Source organism: Homo sapiens, chromosome 1, assembly GCF_000001405.40.
Source record: "Homo sapiens chromosome 1, GRCh38.p14 Primary Assembly".
In the NCBI taxonomy this organism is placed as follows: Eukaryota; Metazoa; Chordata; class Mammalia; order Primates; family Hominidae; genus Homo; species Homo sapiens.
The window spans coordinates 31,061,540-31,077,979 of NC_000001.11; the positions used below are offsets into that span (position 1 = coordinate 31,061,540).

Sequence of the window (16,440 nt, forward strand, 5' to 3'; positions counted from 1 at the left end):
AGGGAGGCAGAGGTCGCACCACTGTGCTCCAGCCGGGCGACAGAGCGAGACTCTGTCTCAAAATAAATAAATAAATAAAATAATTTTTTTAAATTATAAAAAAAAAAGAAAGCCTCACTATACAAACCAGAAGCCTCAGTTGGGTGTGGTGGCTCATACCTACAATCCCAGCACTTTGGGAGGCTGAGGTGGGCAGACAGCTTGAGCCCAGGAGTTCAAGACCAGCCTGGGCAACATAGCAAGACCTATCTCTACTAAAAATAATTAGCCAGGCATGGTGGCATGTGCCTATAGTCCCAGCTACTAGGGAGGCTGAGGTGGGAGGATCATTTGAGCCCAGGAGCGGGAGGCTGCACACCCGCTTGGGCGACAGAGTGAGTTCCTGTCTCAAAAACAAACAAACAAACAGAAGCTTCAACACGGTAATAGTGTAATGAATATATCGCAGACATTGTCTCATCACAAAAGCATTGAAAGGTAGCCATTATTATTTCTATTTTACAAATGAAAACACTAAGGTACAGGAGGAAAATGGGATGTTTCCAAGGCCATTCAACTAGCAAGTAGCAGAGAAAGGATTCAAACCCTAATCGTTCCCAAGCTTACTTCTTTCTACTAACCCCTTGCAGGAGTAACTCAACAATATGTCTCATTTGTATCCTCTACTCCTCTGGAAGACCAACAAAGAATCCCTCAAATGTTACTATGAAACACTAAAGTTCCTTAAAACCAAAAACTGCATCTGTACTTAAGATAGAACACTTGCCAGCCTGTGGGTGCTTTTAAAAAATGCTACAAAGTGTCCGGACACGGTGGCTTACGCCTGTAATCCCAGCACTTTGGGAGGCGGAGGCAGGCGCATCTCCAGGTCAGAATTCCAGACCAGCCTGGCCAATATACTGAAACCCCGTCTCTACTAAAAATATAAAAAGTAGCCAGGTGTGGTGGCACGCACCTGTAGTCCCAGCTACTCGGGAGACTGAGGCAGAAGAATCGCTTGAACCCAGGAGGCGGAGGTTGCAGTGAGCCGAGATCAAGGCACTGCACTCCAGCCTGGACGACAGAGTGAGACTCCATCTCAAAAAAAAAAAAAAAAAGCTACAAAGTAAATAAATCAGTTACCAATTAGGACACACCTGTCCACAGCCACGGTCTAATTTCAAAGCCATCGGCCTAACAGTCTACTGCTACAAATGCTTTATCTCTTCTCCCAACCCCCACTGTGATGCTTCAAAAACACATGAATAACAAATCTACTATCTCTCTGTTGAATAAATAAACCTTCTGATAAAGTAGCATTTGCTTCTCACAACTAAATTCATGTTTTTGAAGCCAGCCTAAGAAGACACAATGGAATTTGTAATTTGTTTAAAGCCTAATTTGGAAATGCCTAGTCTAGGTTAAGAATTCCAATCCATCAGAACCTTAGCAGGGTACTGGAGTAGTCTAACCTAGACACTAGTCCCTGCTCAAGTACCAAAACCAAAAAGTCATAGCCCGGTTTCACCATCGGTCTTTCAAAAGTGCAAACCAGCCTAATGCCTCCCTGCTTGGTTTTTTAAAGAATTCATTACTCTCTTAGTACTAATACTAGACAGTCCCATTCTGTTCTAAAAGGAAATCTCGACCTAACAATCTTTGTTCTAGAGCAGGCCAAGAGTTCCAAAACCCAAGTTCTTTCACTAAACAAAACTACCTGTTTCCTCATCTAGAAAATGAAAGAAATCCTTCCTCTATGACTCTCAATGTTTTGGGTTTTTCTTAATGAAAATGAGATAAATATAAAAGTTTTTGGTAAATTTAAAGTCATCGTGCTTAAGACTCTTAGAATTTAGTTACCCCTAGTTAAGGCAACTCCAGTCCCTAACAGAATTCCTAAAACAGCAAATGCAATCTTTTCTGAAATAAAAGCCTTCTCAAAATAGTTATCTAGGAGGCTGAGAGAAGGATAATGAGAGATTACCTAAGGAGGACAATGTACGTTATTCCAGTGATGGACACACAAAAAGCCCTGGCTTCACCACTACGCAATACACGCATGTACAAATTACACTTGTACCTCACAAATTATACAAATAAAAATTTTTAAAAGAAAAAAGTTATCTAACAAAGAATATCCACATAAAAGAGGAGTTTATCACTGACGCACACTAAACACACCTTCATTCTAAAAGGAATGGGGGAAAGAAAAGACTCCTATAAAAATGTTCAAACGAAACAATTGGCTTTTGTAAAGCTATCTGTATGCCCTAAGACTTCCTGCTTTACCTAAAGAGGCAAGGCAGTTTCTCAAACCAGAGAAAACCTGGCAGAACAGTTTCAAAGTGAGCAAATACCTAAGCAATTAACATGTTATCTTGGGTAGTTTTGTGGTATTTTGGCAAATACGGCACAAAAATTAAAAACTCAGTATCCTAAATATCAGAAAAGCTCACTAATACGTGTAGCATTTAAAATGTGATTTTTTTACAAATGACACCTTATAAGTACTTTAAGCAACTAGAAGTGCTCAGTCCAGCTACTCTTTCACAGCTTTCAAATGTTTACAAAGTTTTTTAAAATATCACTAATTGAGTTGAATTCAAAGGAACACGGTTTACTTTATTTCCATGGCTCACCTTTTACTAAAATGCTTAGTGGTTTAAAAGGTGTTTATTTTTACCACACTTAACAAACATTCTGTGGTCATAAATTTATCTTAAAACAGTTCATTTTAAACCTAAACTAAACAAATTCCAACTTCAAAAAGCTGTGGCCTTGAACAAAATGAATTCAATTGTCGCTAAAGCAAAACACTAACTCAAAGTTCAGAATCCGGAGAGCGTTTCCCAAGAGCCCAGATAAAGAATCAACAGCCCCCCAGTGTTTTATAAAGTTAAAATTAGCAAAGGGTCAAAATGTTTATTTTGCTTACGAAAACTGCATCGGAAGCCACATTTCTTGGGGTTGGGCCTGTCTTAGTAAGTTTTTAGGTGCTTTCAAGAAACAAAATGCTAAGCCTATTGTTTCAGAAGTTAACTGACTTTAAAACAGAACCCAGGAAAAGCTTCATAAAATCTTATTCTTAATTAATCCCAGTAATAACAGGAATTGAGCAAAATGGTATCGAGGGCTGAGAACAGTGTTTTCTTAATTGAACAATAAAAGGTAACAATCTAAGTTACGGGAGAATAAAGCCTTCTCTGGTAATGCTGTGTGTGGGTTTCTGGCTTTGTTTTTTCAGCGGGGGGGGGGGGGGGGGCTATAGGAGGGAAAAGTTACAGGAGTGTATTCCTCACTTGACGTGGGAATGGTACTGACAAGTAAAACAAATGATCTATGTTTACCAAGCATGTTTGTGAGGACTAAAACTAGTATTGTGTATCTAGATTTTCCTACTAGCAAGGGGTGAACCCCTCTTTGAGTGAAGAGAGACACCAACACCGGGAGGCTCAAAAAGGAAGAACCCACCAAAAACACAAGCTCACACGGAAACAAAAGGCCACAGCAACCCAGGAGCCTAAAAAGCATTCTGAAACTTCCTGATCGCCACTTCTCCACATTTAAGGCTCGCAAAGTTCCCCCACGGTGAATCTCGCCTGTGGACAAGGGCCACGGCTGCTTCTAAAGCGATTTATTGTTCCTCCTCCTCCGGCGCTGCCACGGAAGCTCAAGAAGTCGAAGAAATCGGGGTGGCACAGAATTACACTTCATGGCCACACAGAAGACTCGGGGCTTCGCAAACCCATCAAAAAAAGCAACCCGAATGGCAACATCAATCTTCGGTGGTTCCCAACAGGGCCAGGCAAAAATGTAGAGGCACGTCTACGCCCTGGGCTCGGGCCTAAACCCCCAGCATTTTCCTAGCTTCGACCCCGCTCCCCACCCCCTCCCTCCTTTGATAACAATAGGGGCCTTGCTGCTGACTCCAAAACATGTACGAGGAACAGCGAGTGAGAAGCCTCAGCCAGGGCCCCGGCGGCTTTTCCAAAGCCCTTCTCACCCCCACAACCACTCTCAAACACCAATATGAAGGGACAATCTGCTCGTTAGGGGTCCGGAGCAGCGTTTGGGGCCGGTGGGGTGCGGATACTCACGGGCGGAGCGGTAGGATGAAGATGGATTTCAGCCCCCCGATCTTCTCTCTCTGGCGCTCTCGCTCCCCCTTACCTTTCACTCCGACAACATGGCGGCCCACTGGGGACTGGGTTGGCGCGGTGCATCCTGGGATAGGCTCCGGCCCCGGCCCCGGCGGTGGCAGCGGCATGTGCGGAGAAGGCTGGCGGCTCTGGAACAGGTTGCCTGGTTGCCATGCCAACCCAGGGCCTGTGTGAACTCGGGAAACTCGCAGGCAACACAAACGCTGCGCGCGAGTGCCCGCCCGCTAGGCGAGCGCGCGCCGCCAGGGCCGAAGGCGGGGTCCCGCCGGCCCGCACCTGGGAGAACACGGCCTGGAGCTGGGCACGCGGGGTTGCGCCGGTGACGCTCCACCGAGTCTCGGACGCGCTCCTCGCGCCCGCCGCGCCCTCGGAAGCTTGCCCCCGAGCACCACAGCTAGCAGGGTTCGCGGACGGCCACCCGCACTGCCCTGGCCCCAGAGGTGCAGGGTTCAAACCCCTTCTCTGCAGCTTTCTAGCTCTGCGGCCTTATTTAAATCGACCTGCCTCCATTTCCACATTTGTACAATGAAGAAGAAAATAACCCCCACTTAACAGAATGGCCTGGAGGATTAAGTGGAATAATGTATGTTAAGTGCTTTTAGTCTTACTGTCTCAAACTAAACTCAAAATAGATTGAAGGCCGGGCGCGGTGGCTCACGCCTGTAATCCCTGGACTTTGGGAGGCTGAGGCGGGCGGATCATGAGGTCAGGAGATCGAGACCATCCTGGCTAACATGGTGAAACCCTGTCTCTACTAAAAATACAAAAAAATTAGCCGGGCGTGGTGGCGGGCACCTGTAGTCCCAGCTACTCGGGAGGCTGAGGCAGGAGAATGGCCTGAACCTGGGAGGCGGAGCTTGCAGTGAGCAGAGATCGCGCCACTGCACTTGAGCCTGGGCGACACGGAGAGGCTCCGTCTCAAAAAAAAAAAAAAAATAGATTGAAAACAGACAAATCGCAATACTGTAAAAGACCAGAAGAAGATATGGGGAGAAGCTCTATAATTGGAGGAGGGAAAATGTTTATACTCATGAATCAAAGTCAAAAGATCATAAAAGAAAATATTGAAAGAAATATAAACATCTGTACGAGAAGAGATGCCATCAACAAAGTAGAACAAATGGATAAAAAATATTTGCAGTACACGGCCAGGCGCGATGGCTCATGCCTGTAATCCCAGCACTTTGGGAGGCCGAGGCGGGTGGATCATGAGGTCAAGAGATCAAGACCATCCTGGCCAACATGGTGAAACCCCGTCTCTACTAAAAATACAAAAAAATTAGCCGGGAGTGGTGGCGGGCGCCTGTGGTCCCAGCTACTGGGGAGGCTGAGGCAGGAGAATCACTTGAACCCAGGAGGCAGAGGTTGCAGTGAGCCAATATTGTGCCACTGCACTCCAGCCTGATGACAGAGCAAGACTCCGTCTCAAGAAAAAAAATATATATATATACACATATATGTATATATACATATATACATATATATACACATATATACATATATACACATATATACATATATACATATATACACATATATACATATATAAACATATATATACGTATATATACATATATATATATTTGCAATACACATGATAAGGAAATGGTTGATCATCATGATAAATGCAAAATTTCTCCCATCAGGGTCCTGGTGGGGTGGCTCACACCTGTAATCCCAGCACTTTGGGAGGCAGAGGTGGTAGAATTGGTTGAGGCCAGCAGTTTGAGACCAGGCTGGGCAACATAGTGAGGCCTCGTCTCTACAAAAAGTTAAAAATTATCTGGGCATGGTGGCACACATCTGTAGTCCTAGCTACTTGGGAGCTAAAGCAGGAGAATTCCCTTGAGCCCAGGAATTGAGCTGCAATGAGCTATGATTGGGCCACTACATTCCAGCCTAGGAGACAGAAAGAGGCCCTGTATCAAATAAATAAATAAATAAAATCTGTAATCAATTTCTAAAAATCCGAAATGGGCTGGGCGCAGCGGCTCATGCCTGCAATCTGAACACTTTGGGAGGCCGAGGCAGGCAGATCACTTGAGGTCAGGAGTTCGAGACCAGCCTGGCCAACATGGTGAAACCCCATCTCTACTAAAACTACAAAAATTAGCCGAGCGTGGTTATGGGCGCCTGTAATCCCAGTTACTCTGGAGGCCGAGGCAAGAGAATCGCTTGAACCCAGGAGGTGGAGGTTGCAGTGAGCTGAGATGAAGCACTGCCTGGGAAACAGAATGAGATTCCATGTCAAAAGGAAAGAAATAAATCCAAAATAAAATAAATCCAAAATAAACAAACATAACAAAATCACATACAGCCAAGAAACATAAAAGTAGCCTGGGGTTGAGGGATGAAAGAGCAGAAATGGGAAGGTACTGCTAATGGGTATGGGGTCTCCTTTTGGAGTGTTGAAAACCTTTTAAAATTAGAGTGCGATGACGGTTGCAAAACTGTGAGTATACCATAAACCACCAAAGTAGACACTTTATGATTTAAATGGTGAATTTGTATTTTACTTTTGTTTTTCGAGACAGGGTCTCCCAGGTTAGAGTGCAGTGGTGTAACCATGGCTCACTTGTAGGCTTGAACTCCAGGGCCCAAGCGATCCTCTCACCTTGGCCTCCTAAGAAGTTGGAACTTCAGCCATGCACCAACACACTTAGCTAATTTTTTTGTTTTTGTTTTTGTTTTGAGATGAGTTCACCCTGTGTTGCCCAGGCTGGTAAATTAGTGAATTTTAGGCCGTGTATGGTGGCTCATGCCTGTAATCCCAAAACTTTGGGAGGCTGAAGCAGGCTGATGACTGGAGGTCAGGAGTTCAAGACCAGCCTGGCCAACATGGTGAAACCTCATCTCTACTAAGAATACAAAAATTAGCTGGGCGTAGTGTCAGGTGCCTGTAATACCAGCTACTTGGGAGACTGAGGCAGGAGAATCACTTGAACACGGAAGGCAGAGGTTGCAGTGAGTAGAGATTGCACCATTGCACTCCAGCCTGGGTGACAAGAGCCAGACTCCGCCTCAAAAAAATAAAATAAAATAAAATAAAATAGTGAGTTTTATGGTATATGAAATATATATCGGCCGGGCACGGTGACTCATGCCCGTAATCCCAGCAATTTGGGAGGCCGAGGCAAGCGGATCATGAGGTCCTGAGATCGAGAACATCCTGACCAACATGGTGAAACCCTGTCTCTACTAAAAATACAAAAATTAGCTGGGCGTGGTGGTGTGCACTTGTAGTCCCAGCTACTTGGGAGGCTGAGGCAGGAGAATCACTTGAGACTGGGAGGCGGAGGTTGCAGTGTGACGAGATCTCGACACTGGATTCCAGCCTGGCGACAGAGCAAGTTTCCGTCTCAAAAAAAAAGTTTTATATATATATATAATCTCAAAGCTGTAAAAGATGAGAAAAAATAACTAATAAAAGAAATGCAACTTTAAAGTATAATATTTTCATCCATTAAACACACTGGCCAAAATTAAAATGATTATTAACATAGTGTTTCTACAAGTGTATAAGAAAATTGGTATCCATGTTGTTTACATTGTTTGAGCATGTATTATCTTTTTTTTTTTTTTTTAATTTTTTTTGAGATGGAGTCTCACTCTGTCGCCCAGGCTGGAGTGCAGTGGCACAATCTCGGCTCACTGCAACCTCTGCCTCCCAGGTTTAAGCAATCCTCCTGCCTCAGCCTCCTGAGTAGCTGGGATTACAGGTGTGCACCAACACGCCCAGCTAGTTTTCCTATTTTTAGTAGAGACGGGGTTTCGTCACGTTGGCCAGGCTAGTCTTGAACTCCTGACCTCAAGTGATCCGCCTGCCTCGGCATCCCAGAGTGCCAGGATTACAGGCATGAGCCACCACGCCCAGCCTATCTTTACTTTAAAAAACAGAATGTTACTTTTGTTTAAAAAAATAGAAGACAGAGATTTTAATCTCTGAATGAGTTGGAAGTTAAAGATGTGAGCTTTGCTATTTTCTAGCCATGTGACCTTGAGAGCATGAGTCCAGCTCCCTCATCTGTTAAATGAGGATATCTATACTTTTCTTGCATGTTACGATGGTTAAATTAACTAGCACACGGTAGTGTCTGATACAGCCAGGTGCAGTGACTCACATCAGTAATCCCAGTTATTCCAGAAACTGAAGAAGTAAGATCTTTTGAGCGCAGAAGTACGAGACCACCCTAGGCCATATAGCCAGACTCCCTCTCAAGGAAAAAAAAAAAAAGTATCTGATACAGAATTATTATTATTATTATTATTTTAAAGAATAGAGATTAGGTTTCCCCATGTTGCCCAGGCTGGTCTGGCTCAAGAGCTGGATTTCCGAATACAACACCTTATGGGGTTGTTGAATTTGAGTGTTGACACTTTTATTTTTTTGAAATGAGGTCTCATTCTGTCACCCAGGCTGGAGTTCAGTGGTGATTACTGCTCACTGTAACCTCAAACTCCTGGGCTCAAGCAATCCTACTGCCTCGGCCTCCCAAAATTCAAATTCAACAACTCCATAAGATGTTGTATTCGGAAATCCAGCGCTTGAGCCAGACAAGAAATCATTTACTTAATCTCTCTGAGCCTCCATTTTCTCCCCTATAACATGGGTCTAATAGAATAGCACTGAATGAAATAAAGCTGATAAAGCATTTAGCCCCATCGGGCCAGGACATTGCAAAGTGCTGGTAACTATAATAGGAAAACCTGCAGGGGGAAATTGAGCAAATGAGCACACATGAGAAAGTTACAAAGATTTCAGTTTTCAGAACCTTACCACACGTTCTGTGCTCCATGATTTCATTCTGAGATCCATGACTAACTCCTTAGGTTTTGTTTGTTTGTTTGTTTTGAGCCAGAGCCTCGCTCTGTCGCCCAGGCTAGAGTACAGTGGCGTGACCTCAGCCCCCTGGGTTCAAGCAATTCTCCTGCCTCAGTATTCCTAGTAGCTGGGATTACAGGCCTGCGCTACCACACCCAACTGATTTTTGTATTTTTAGTAGAGACGGGGTTTCACCATGTTGGCCAGGCTGGTCTCGAACTCCTGACCTCAAGTGATCTGCCCGCCTCAGCCTCCCAAAGTACTGGGATCACAGGCGTGAGCCACCGTGTCCAGCCACTCCTTAGTTTTAACTTTAGCTTTTATTATTCAGGTGTAGAGATTCTTTTTTTCTTTTTTTCTTTTTCTTTTTTTTTCTTTTTTTTTTTTTTTGAGATGGAGTTTTGCTCTTGTTGCCCAGGCTGGAGTGCAATGGCATGACCTCGGCTCACTTCAACTTCCGCCTCCCGGGTTGAGGCAATTCTCCTACCTCAGCCTCCGGAGTAGCTGGGATTACAGGCACCCGCCACCATGCCAGGCTAATTTTTTGTATTTTTAGTAGAGATGGAGTTTCACTATGTTGGCCAGGCTGGTCTCGAACTCCTGACCTCAGGTGATCCACCCGCCTCGCCCTCCCAAAGTGCTGGGATTACAGGCGTGAACCACCTCACCAGGCCTGGTGTATAGATTCTAAAGTCAGTTTAGCCACAGCCACGTGGAACCAACCTTCAGCTGCCTCCCCATCCAGTCAAATGATGCAATCCCAACAGAACACTTGACACTCATCCATAGATTTCCCTTAAAGAATTACCTTCCAGGGCCTGAGGCACCAGCTCAGCACCCAAATAATCCTATCAGAGCAGTGCCTCCAACAAACACTAGAGACTGTCCTGTTAGCAAATGTTTACCTGTGCCACACACCGTGTTAAGACTTCTATAATTGCCTGGCGCGGTGGTTCACGCCTGTAATCCCAGCACTTTGGGAGGCTGAGGCAGGCAGATCGCTTGAGCTCAGGAGTCTGAGATCAGCCTGGGCAACATGACAGAACTCTGTACTAAAAAGTACAAAAATTAGCCTGTAATCCCAGCATTTTGGGATGCCAAGGCATGCAGATCACTTGAGGTCAGGAGTTCAAGACCAGCCTGCCGGTGTGGCAAAATCCTGCCTCTACTAAAAATACAAAAAAATTAGCCAGGTGTGGTGCTGCATGCCTGTAATTCCAGCTACTGAGGAGGCTAAGGCAGGAGAATTTCTTGAACCTGGGAGGCAGAGGTTGCAGTGAGCAGAGATCACACCACTGCTCTCTAGCCTGGGTGATAGAGCAAGACTCTGTCAAAAACAAACAAACAAACAAACAAAAAAGACTTTTATAGTCATTATTTCATTTAAAACTCCCAAAATATCTATGACATGGACAAAATTATTATTCCCATTTCCCATGAGAAAACTGGCTGGGCATGGTGGCTTATGGCCTGTAATCCCCAATTGCTTGAGCTCAGGAGTTCAAGACCAGCTTGGGCAGCATAGTGAGATCCCCATCTCTACAAAAACAATTTAAAAATTAAAAAAATTAGCCAGGCATGGTGGTGCATACCCGTGGTCCCAGCTACTCAGGAGGCTGAGGTGGGAGGATGGCGTTGCAGTCTTTCTGCTCCTTAGCTCAGCTAGGTCTGAGTTCTTTACCTAGAAAAAGGAAAAATTAGGAATATGGACACTGGAGAGTGAGTGGAGTAGAATTTATTAAGCAAAAGGAAAGCTCTCAGCAGAGGGGATGTGAGGGGTGGTTCCCCTACCCTACTTGAAAGCGGGCAAGTCCCCCAGGTGGTTGGGTCTGGGGCCCTTTATGGACTTAGAATGGAGAGTGTGTGCTGACTGGTTTGTGAGTATGCAAAAAAGGTTCAAGTAAAGACACCACTCAAAGGTGGGCACAACAGTGTAGAAAAACCAATTAGGAAAGGGTAGGTATATGTAAAACAGGTGAAGGGTGGGGCCCAATCAGAGGAAAGTACACCAAACAGGAAGAAAGTTCTCAATACAGTCGGAGGATTTAACTTGTAGCTTGGGCTTCAGGCTTTAAACGGTCTTCAGCTTGGAGGTGGGGTTTCACCCGGGACTCACCCTTATCTGCCTAGGCATTTGTCTGCCTCCTGCCACTCTCACTGGCTTAGGCCCTGGAGGTCAAGGATGCAGTGAGCCATGATGACACCACTGCTTGCCAGCCTGGGCAACAGAGACTCTGTCTCTAAAAAAATAATAATTTAAACAAAATTAAAAACTAATTTTAAAAAAGATGAGAAAACCAAAACTTGAAGAGGTAAAGGAAACGGATTAGTATTTATCCAAACATTGTCTAAGGCTGTTTGCTGAGTGTTGTCTGATCAAGACAATGTGGAAATCATGTCTAAAACTTGGCAATCTTCTCAATTCATCTGGTTAAGCGGATACATAATAGACAATATCATCAAACTTTGGGGGTTTGTGAAACTTAAAATCTAATCAAGCTGACCCAGGGAGAGGATTAAGGTGGATTTGAGAAGGGTATTTTTATTTATCTAATCAGTAAAACCTAATCCATTCCATTGTAACCTAATCAGAGAATGATAGAAATCTCAAAATAGAAACTTTTAGTGTAGGTCATTCTAGAAAGCCTGGGTTCAGGAATTTTGAATGCTACTTCTTCATAGGGTAGCGGTTCTCAAGGTGTGCTCGGAGGCTTAGTGGTGAATCAGCCAACCTGGCCCTGCTGACCATGAGAACAAAGTCCACAATAGACAACTGTGATACAATTCCACAGATTTTCATTCTCTTACAACCACCTGTACTTGGCTAGTATGTTACTATCATCTGGTATTTGTAAACTGAATGTAAAGCATTCCCAAGTAAAGTTTACATCCCTCAATTTTCAGAAAGGATTTTTCTCTTTGGGGGAGGTGGATATTTTGTTATAAGTGTTTGAGTTGCTTTTTCAACTATGTTACACTTGTGTTCTTCTATTTGTAGAATCTCCCTTGGATGGCACTTCAGTTCATTGTTTTGGTGCTTAGGTAATTGTTACACTGTTAGCATTTCCACTGTCATTTTGTTTCATAGCAAGTCGTGATTCTTAGAGTGCTTTTCCCATGGGAAAGTAGGAGTGAGGAAGAATTTGGACGTCTGGTATTGGTAACTATGTAATTCTGACCAACGCTGGTAAAATTGGAAAAATATTTTAAAGATCTCTGCTTGATATTATTGGAAAGCCAACAAGGTAGTGAAGAATTACCGAGCCAGGATTTCTGAAAGGAAGGAAACTGAGGGATGTAAACCCCATATTTAGAACTACTTTTCCAGGTGAGGTATTTCCTGACAGATAGCTAAGACGGTGAATGGTGTTTGGTCTTTGTTTTTGTCAAAGACTTGTTTGAGATCTGGAGTGGTGTTTTTATTTTATTTTGTTTTTTTGTTATTTGTTTATTTGTTTATTTATTTTTGAGGCAACATCTCACAGTGTCACCTAGCCTGGAGTGCAGTGGCACCATCATGGCCCACTGAAGCCTCAACCTCCCAGTCTCAAGCAATCTTCCCACCTCAGCCTCCTGAGCAGCTGGGACTACAGGCAGGCACCATCACACCCAGCTAATTTTTCAGTTTTTTGTAGAGACAGAGTCCCACTGTGTTGCCCAGGCTGGTCTCCAACTCCTGGTCTCAGGTGATCTGCCCACCTTGGCCTCCCAAAGTGTTGTGAACCACAATACCCAGCGTATTTTGACTTTTTTTTTTTAATTTATTTTATTTTGACACAGGCTCTCTCTCTGGCACAATCATGGCTCACTGCAGCCTCGATCTCCTGGGCCCAGGTGATCCTCCTGCCTCAGCCTCCCCATTAGCTGGGACTACAGGCATGTACCACCACACCTTCCTAATTTTTTTATTTTTATTCTGTAGAGCAAAAGTCTCACTGTGTTGACCAGGCTGATTTTGAACTCCTGGGTTCAAGATATCTTCCTGCTTTGGCCTCCCAAAGTGCTGGGATTACAGGCATGAGCCACCATGCCCAGCTATTTTATTTATTTATTTATTTATTTAGGGATGGAGTCTTACTCTGTTGCCCAGGCTGGAGTGCAGTGGCGCGATGTTGGCTCACTACAACCTCTGCCTCCCAGGTTCAAGTGATTCTTCCTCAGCCTCCTCCTGAGTAGCTGAGATTACAGGCACCTGCCACCACAGCCAGTTAAATTTTTTTTTTTTTTAATTTAGACGGAGTCTAGCTCTGTCACCCAGGCTGGAGTGCACTGACACAATCTCGGCTCAGCCTCCCGGGTTCACACCATTCTCCTGCCTCAGCCTCCCAAGTAGCTGGGACTACAGGCACCTGCCACCACGCCCAGCTAATTTTTTGTGTTTTTAGTAGAGACTTTCTCCATGTTGGTCAGGCTGGTCTTGAACTCCTGACCTCAGGTGATCCACCCACCTTGGCCTCCCAAAGTGCTGGGATTACAGGCATAAGCCACCTCACCTGGTCTTTTTTTTTTTTTTTTTTTTTTAGATGGATTCTCGCTCTGTCGCCAGGCTGGAGTGCAGTGGCGTGATCTCGGCTCACTGCAACCTCTGCAGGGATCAAGGGATTCTCCTGCCTCAGCCTCCCGAGTAGTTGGGACTACAGGTGCACACCACCATGCCCAGCTAATTTTTGTATTTTTAGTAGAGACAGGGTTTCACCATGTTGGCAGGATGGTCTTGATTTCTTGACCTCGAGATCCACCAGCCTTGGCCTCCCAAAGTCCTGGGATTACAGATGTGAGCCACCAAGCCCAGCCTAATTTTTATATTTTTAGTAGAGACAGGATTTTGTCATGTTGGCCAGGCTGGTCTCAAACTCCTGACCTCAGGTGATTCGCCTGGTTCGGCCTCCCAAAGTGCTGGGATTATAGGCATGAGCCATGGCACCTGGCAGTATTTATAACTTTTAAACCAGAAGAAGAAAACTTTGTTGTGAAAAGAACAAAAACAATGTACAGTAAATAGGAGATATAAAATATAGCAGAAAAAAGTCTTAAGAGTAATTCCAATAAATATAGAAGGGTTAAACTTACCACTAAATACAAGAATGCTATGATGGGGCTGGCTGGGCATGGTGGTGCACTCCTGTAATCCCAACATTTTGGGAGGCCAAGGCAGATGGATCACTTGAGGTCAGGAGTTGGAGACAAGCATGGCCAACATAGTGAAACCCCATCTCCACTAAAAATACAAAAATTAGCCTGGGCATGGTGGTGCGCGCCTGTCATCCCAGCTACTTGGGAGGCTGAGGTGGGAGAATCACTTGAACCCGGGAGGCGGAGCTTGCAGTGAGCTGAGATCGTGCCACTGCACTCCAGCCTGGGAGACAGAGCAAGACGCCATCTCAAAAAAAAAAAAAGCTATGATTGGGTAAGATTATAAGAGGGATAGTTAAAAATAAATACCACCTAAATATGAACCTAAAGAAAGCGAGTATAAAAATGTAAATATGTGATATGATAAACTTAGGTTTAAAAATATCAATAAGGGCTACTCTGTATGATAGTATACAAGTGGACATGGCTGGGCCCAGTGGCTCACGCCTGTAATCCCAACACTTTGGGAGGCAGAGGCAGGCGGATCACCTGAGGTCAGGAGTTCAAGACCAGCATGGCCAACATGGTGAAACCCCGTCTCTATTAAAAAATAATAATAATACAAAAATTAGCCAGGTGTGGTGGCACTTGCCTGTAATCCCATCTACCCAGGAGGCTGAGGTAGGAGAATTGCTGGAACCTGGGAGGCAGAGGCTACAGTGAGCCGAGATCGCGCCACTGCACTCCAGGCTGGGCGACAGAGAGAGACTCTGTCTCAAAAAAAAAAAAAAAAAAAAAGAGTATACATGCCATTATACATTTGTCAAAACTCATAAAATGTGCAAAACCAATTGTGAACTCTAATGTAAATATGGATTTGGGGTGGTGATGATGTGTCAATGTAGGTTCATTGATTGTAACAAATGTACCATTCTGGTGCTGGATGTTGATAGTGGTGGAGGCTGTGCGTTTGTAAAGGCAGGGGGTGCATGGGAACTTTCTGTACTTTCTGCTCAATTTTGCTGTGAGCCTAAAACTACCATAGAAAATTGACTCTAATTTAAAAATATATGTAGGTGGGCCCAGCACGGTGGCTCACACCTGTAATCCCAGCACTTTGGGAGGCCAAGTCAGGCAGATCACCTGAGGTTGGGAGTTCGAGACCAGCCTGACCAACATGGAGAAGCTCTGTCTCTACTAAAAATACAAAATTAGCCAGACGTGGTGGTGAATACCTGTCATCCCAGCTACTCAGGAGGCTGAGGCAGGAGAATCGCTTGAACCCGGGAGGCAGAGGTTGTGGTGAGCCGAGATTATGCCATTGCACTCCAGCCTGGGCAATGAGAGCAAAAATCTGCCTCAAAAAAAAAAAAAAAGTATGTATACATACATACGTACACACACATATATATACTAAGGGTAGAGGGTAAATAAGTATGTTATATATTGATAAAATGAATATGTGGGCCGGGCATGGTGGCTCACCCCTGTAATCCCAGCACTTAGGGAGGCCAAGGCTGGTGGATCACCTGAGGTCAGGAGTTCGAGACCAGCCTGGCCAACATGGCAAAAACCCATCTCTACTAAAAATACAAAAATTAGCTGGGTGTGGTGGCAGGTGCCTGTAATCCCATGTACTTGGGAGGCTGAGGCAGGAGAATTGCTTGAACCCAGGAGGCGAAGGTTGCAGTGAGCCGAGATCCTGCCACTGCACTCCAGCCTGGGCAATGGAGAGAGACTCCGTCTCAAAAAAAAAAAAAAAAAAAAAAAAAGAATATATGGCCATGGTAAACTTTATTTACTTTTTTACAAACAAGGTCTTGCTCTGTCACTCAGGCTGGAGTGCAGTGGTGTGATCATAGCTCACTGCAGCCTCACCCTCCTGAGCTCAATCAATCCTCCCATCTCAGCCTCCTAAGTAGATGGGACCACAGGTATACACCACCATGCCTGGCGATTTCTTTTTTTTTTTTTAAGATGGAGTCTCGCTCTGTTGCCAGGCTGGAGTGCAGTGGTGAAATCTCGGCTCACTGCAACCTCCGCCTCCTGGGTTCAAGTGATTGTCCTGCCTCAGCCTCCCAAGTGGCTGGGACAACAGGCACCCACGACCATGCCCAGCTAGTTTTTTGTATTTTTAGTAGAGGCTGGGTTTCACCATGTTGGCCAGGATGGTCTCGATCTCTTGACCTCATGATCCGCCTGCTTCAGCCTCCCAAAGTGCTGGGATTACAGGTGTGAGCCACTGCACCTGGCCAATTTTTGTATTTTTAGTAGAGACAGGGTTTCACCATGTTAGCCAGGCTGGTCTTTGACTCCTGGGGTCAGATGATCCACCTGCCTCAGTCCCCCAAAGTGCTGGGATTACAGGCATGAGCCACTGCACCTGGCAGATGCCTGGCTAATTTT

General features: G+C 44.9%; 1 protein-coding gene across 2 annotated transcripts in view, besides 4 other annotated features; it reads right to left on the reverse strand.

The window, feature by feature from the left end:
* The window catches only part of PUM1 (pumilio RNA binding family member 1), a 134,212-nt gene extending 130,034 nt beyond the window's left edge, over positions 1 to 4,178 (reverse strand). For both annotated transcript variants that reach the window (NM_014676.3, NM_001020658.2), the window contains exon 1: positions 4,077 to 4,178. The gene's annotated coding sequence lies outside the window, so the exon portion shown is untranslated. The remainder of the gene's footprint in view (positions 1 to 4,076) is intronic.
* Positions 3,835 to 4,154: an enhancer, noted in NCBI's record as "active region_638". NCBI's record gives its function as "activates an Ori minimal core promoter by ATAC-STARR-seq in GM12878 lymphoblastoid cells {active_cell/tissue: GM12878}" and the evidence as "EXISTENCE:reporter gene assay evidence [ECO:0000049][PMID:35858748]".
* Positions 3,835 to 4,936: a biological region, named in NCBI's record as "NANOG-H3K27ac-H3K4me1 hESC enhancer GRCh37_chr1:31538408-31539322".
* Positions 4,022 to 4,936: an enhancer, noted in NCBI's record as "NANOG-H3K27ac-H3K4me1 hESC enhancer chr1:31538408-31539322 (GRCh37/hg19 assembly coordinates)". NCBI's record gives its function as "activates a minimal SCP1, AML or CMV promoter by ChIP-STARR-seq in naive H9 embryonic stem cells {active_cell/tissue: H9 hESC(naive)}" and the evidence as "EXISTENCE:reporter gene assay evidence [ECO:0000049][PMID:30033119]".
* Positions 4,265 to 4,484: a silencer, noted in NCBI's record as "silent region_564". NCBI's record gives its function as "represses an Ori minimal core promoter by ATAC-STARR-seq in GM12878 lymphoblastoid cells {active_cell/tissue: GM12878}" and the evidence as "EXISTENCE:reporter gene assay evidence [ECO:0000049][PMID:35858748]".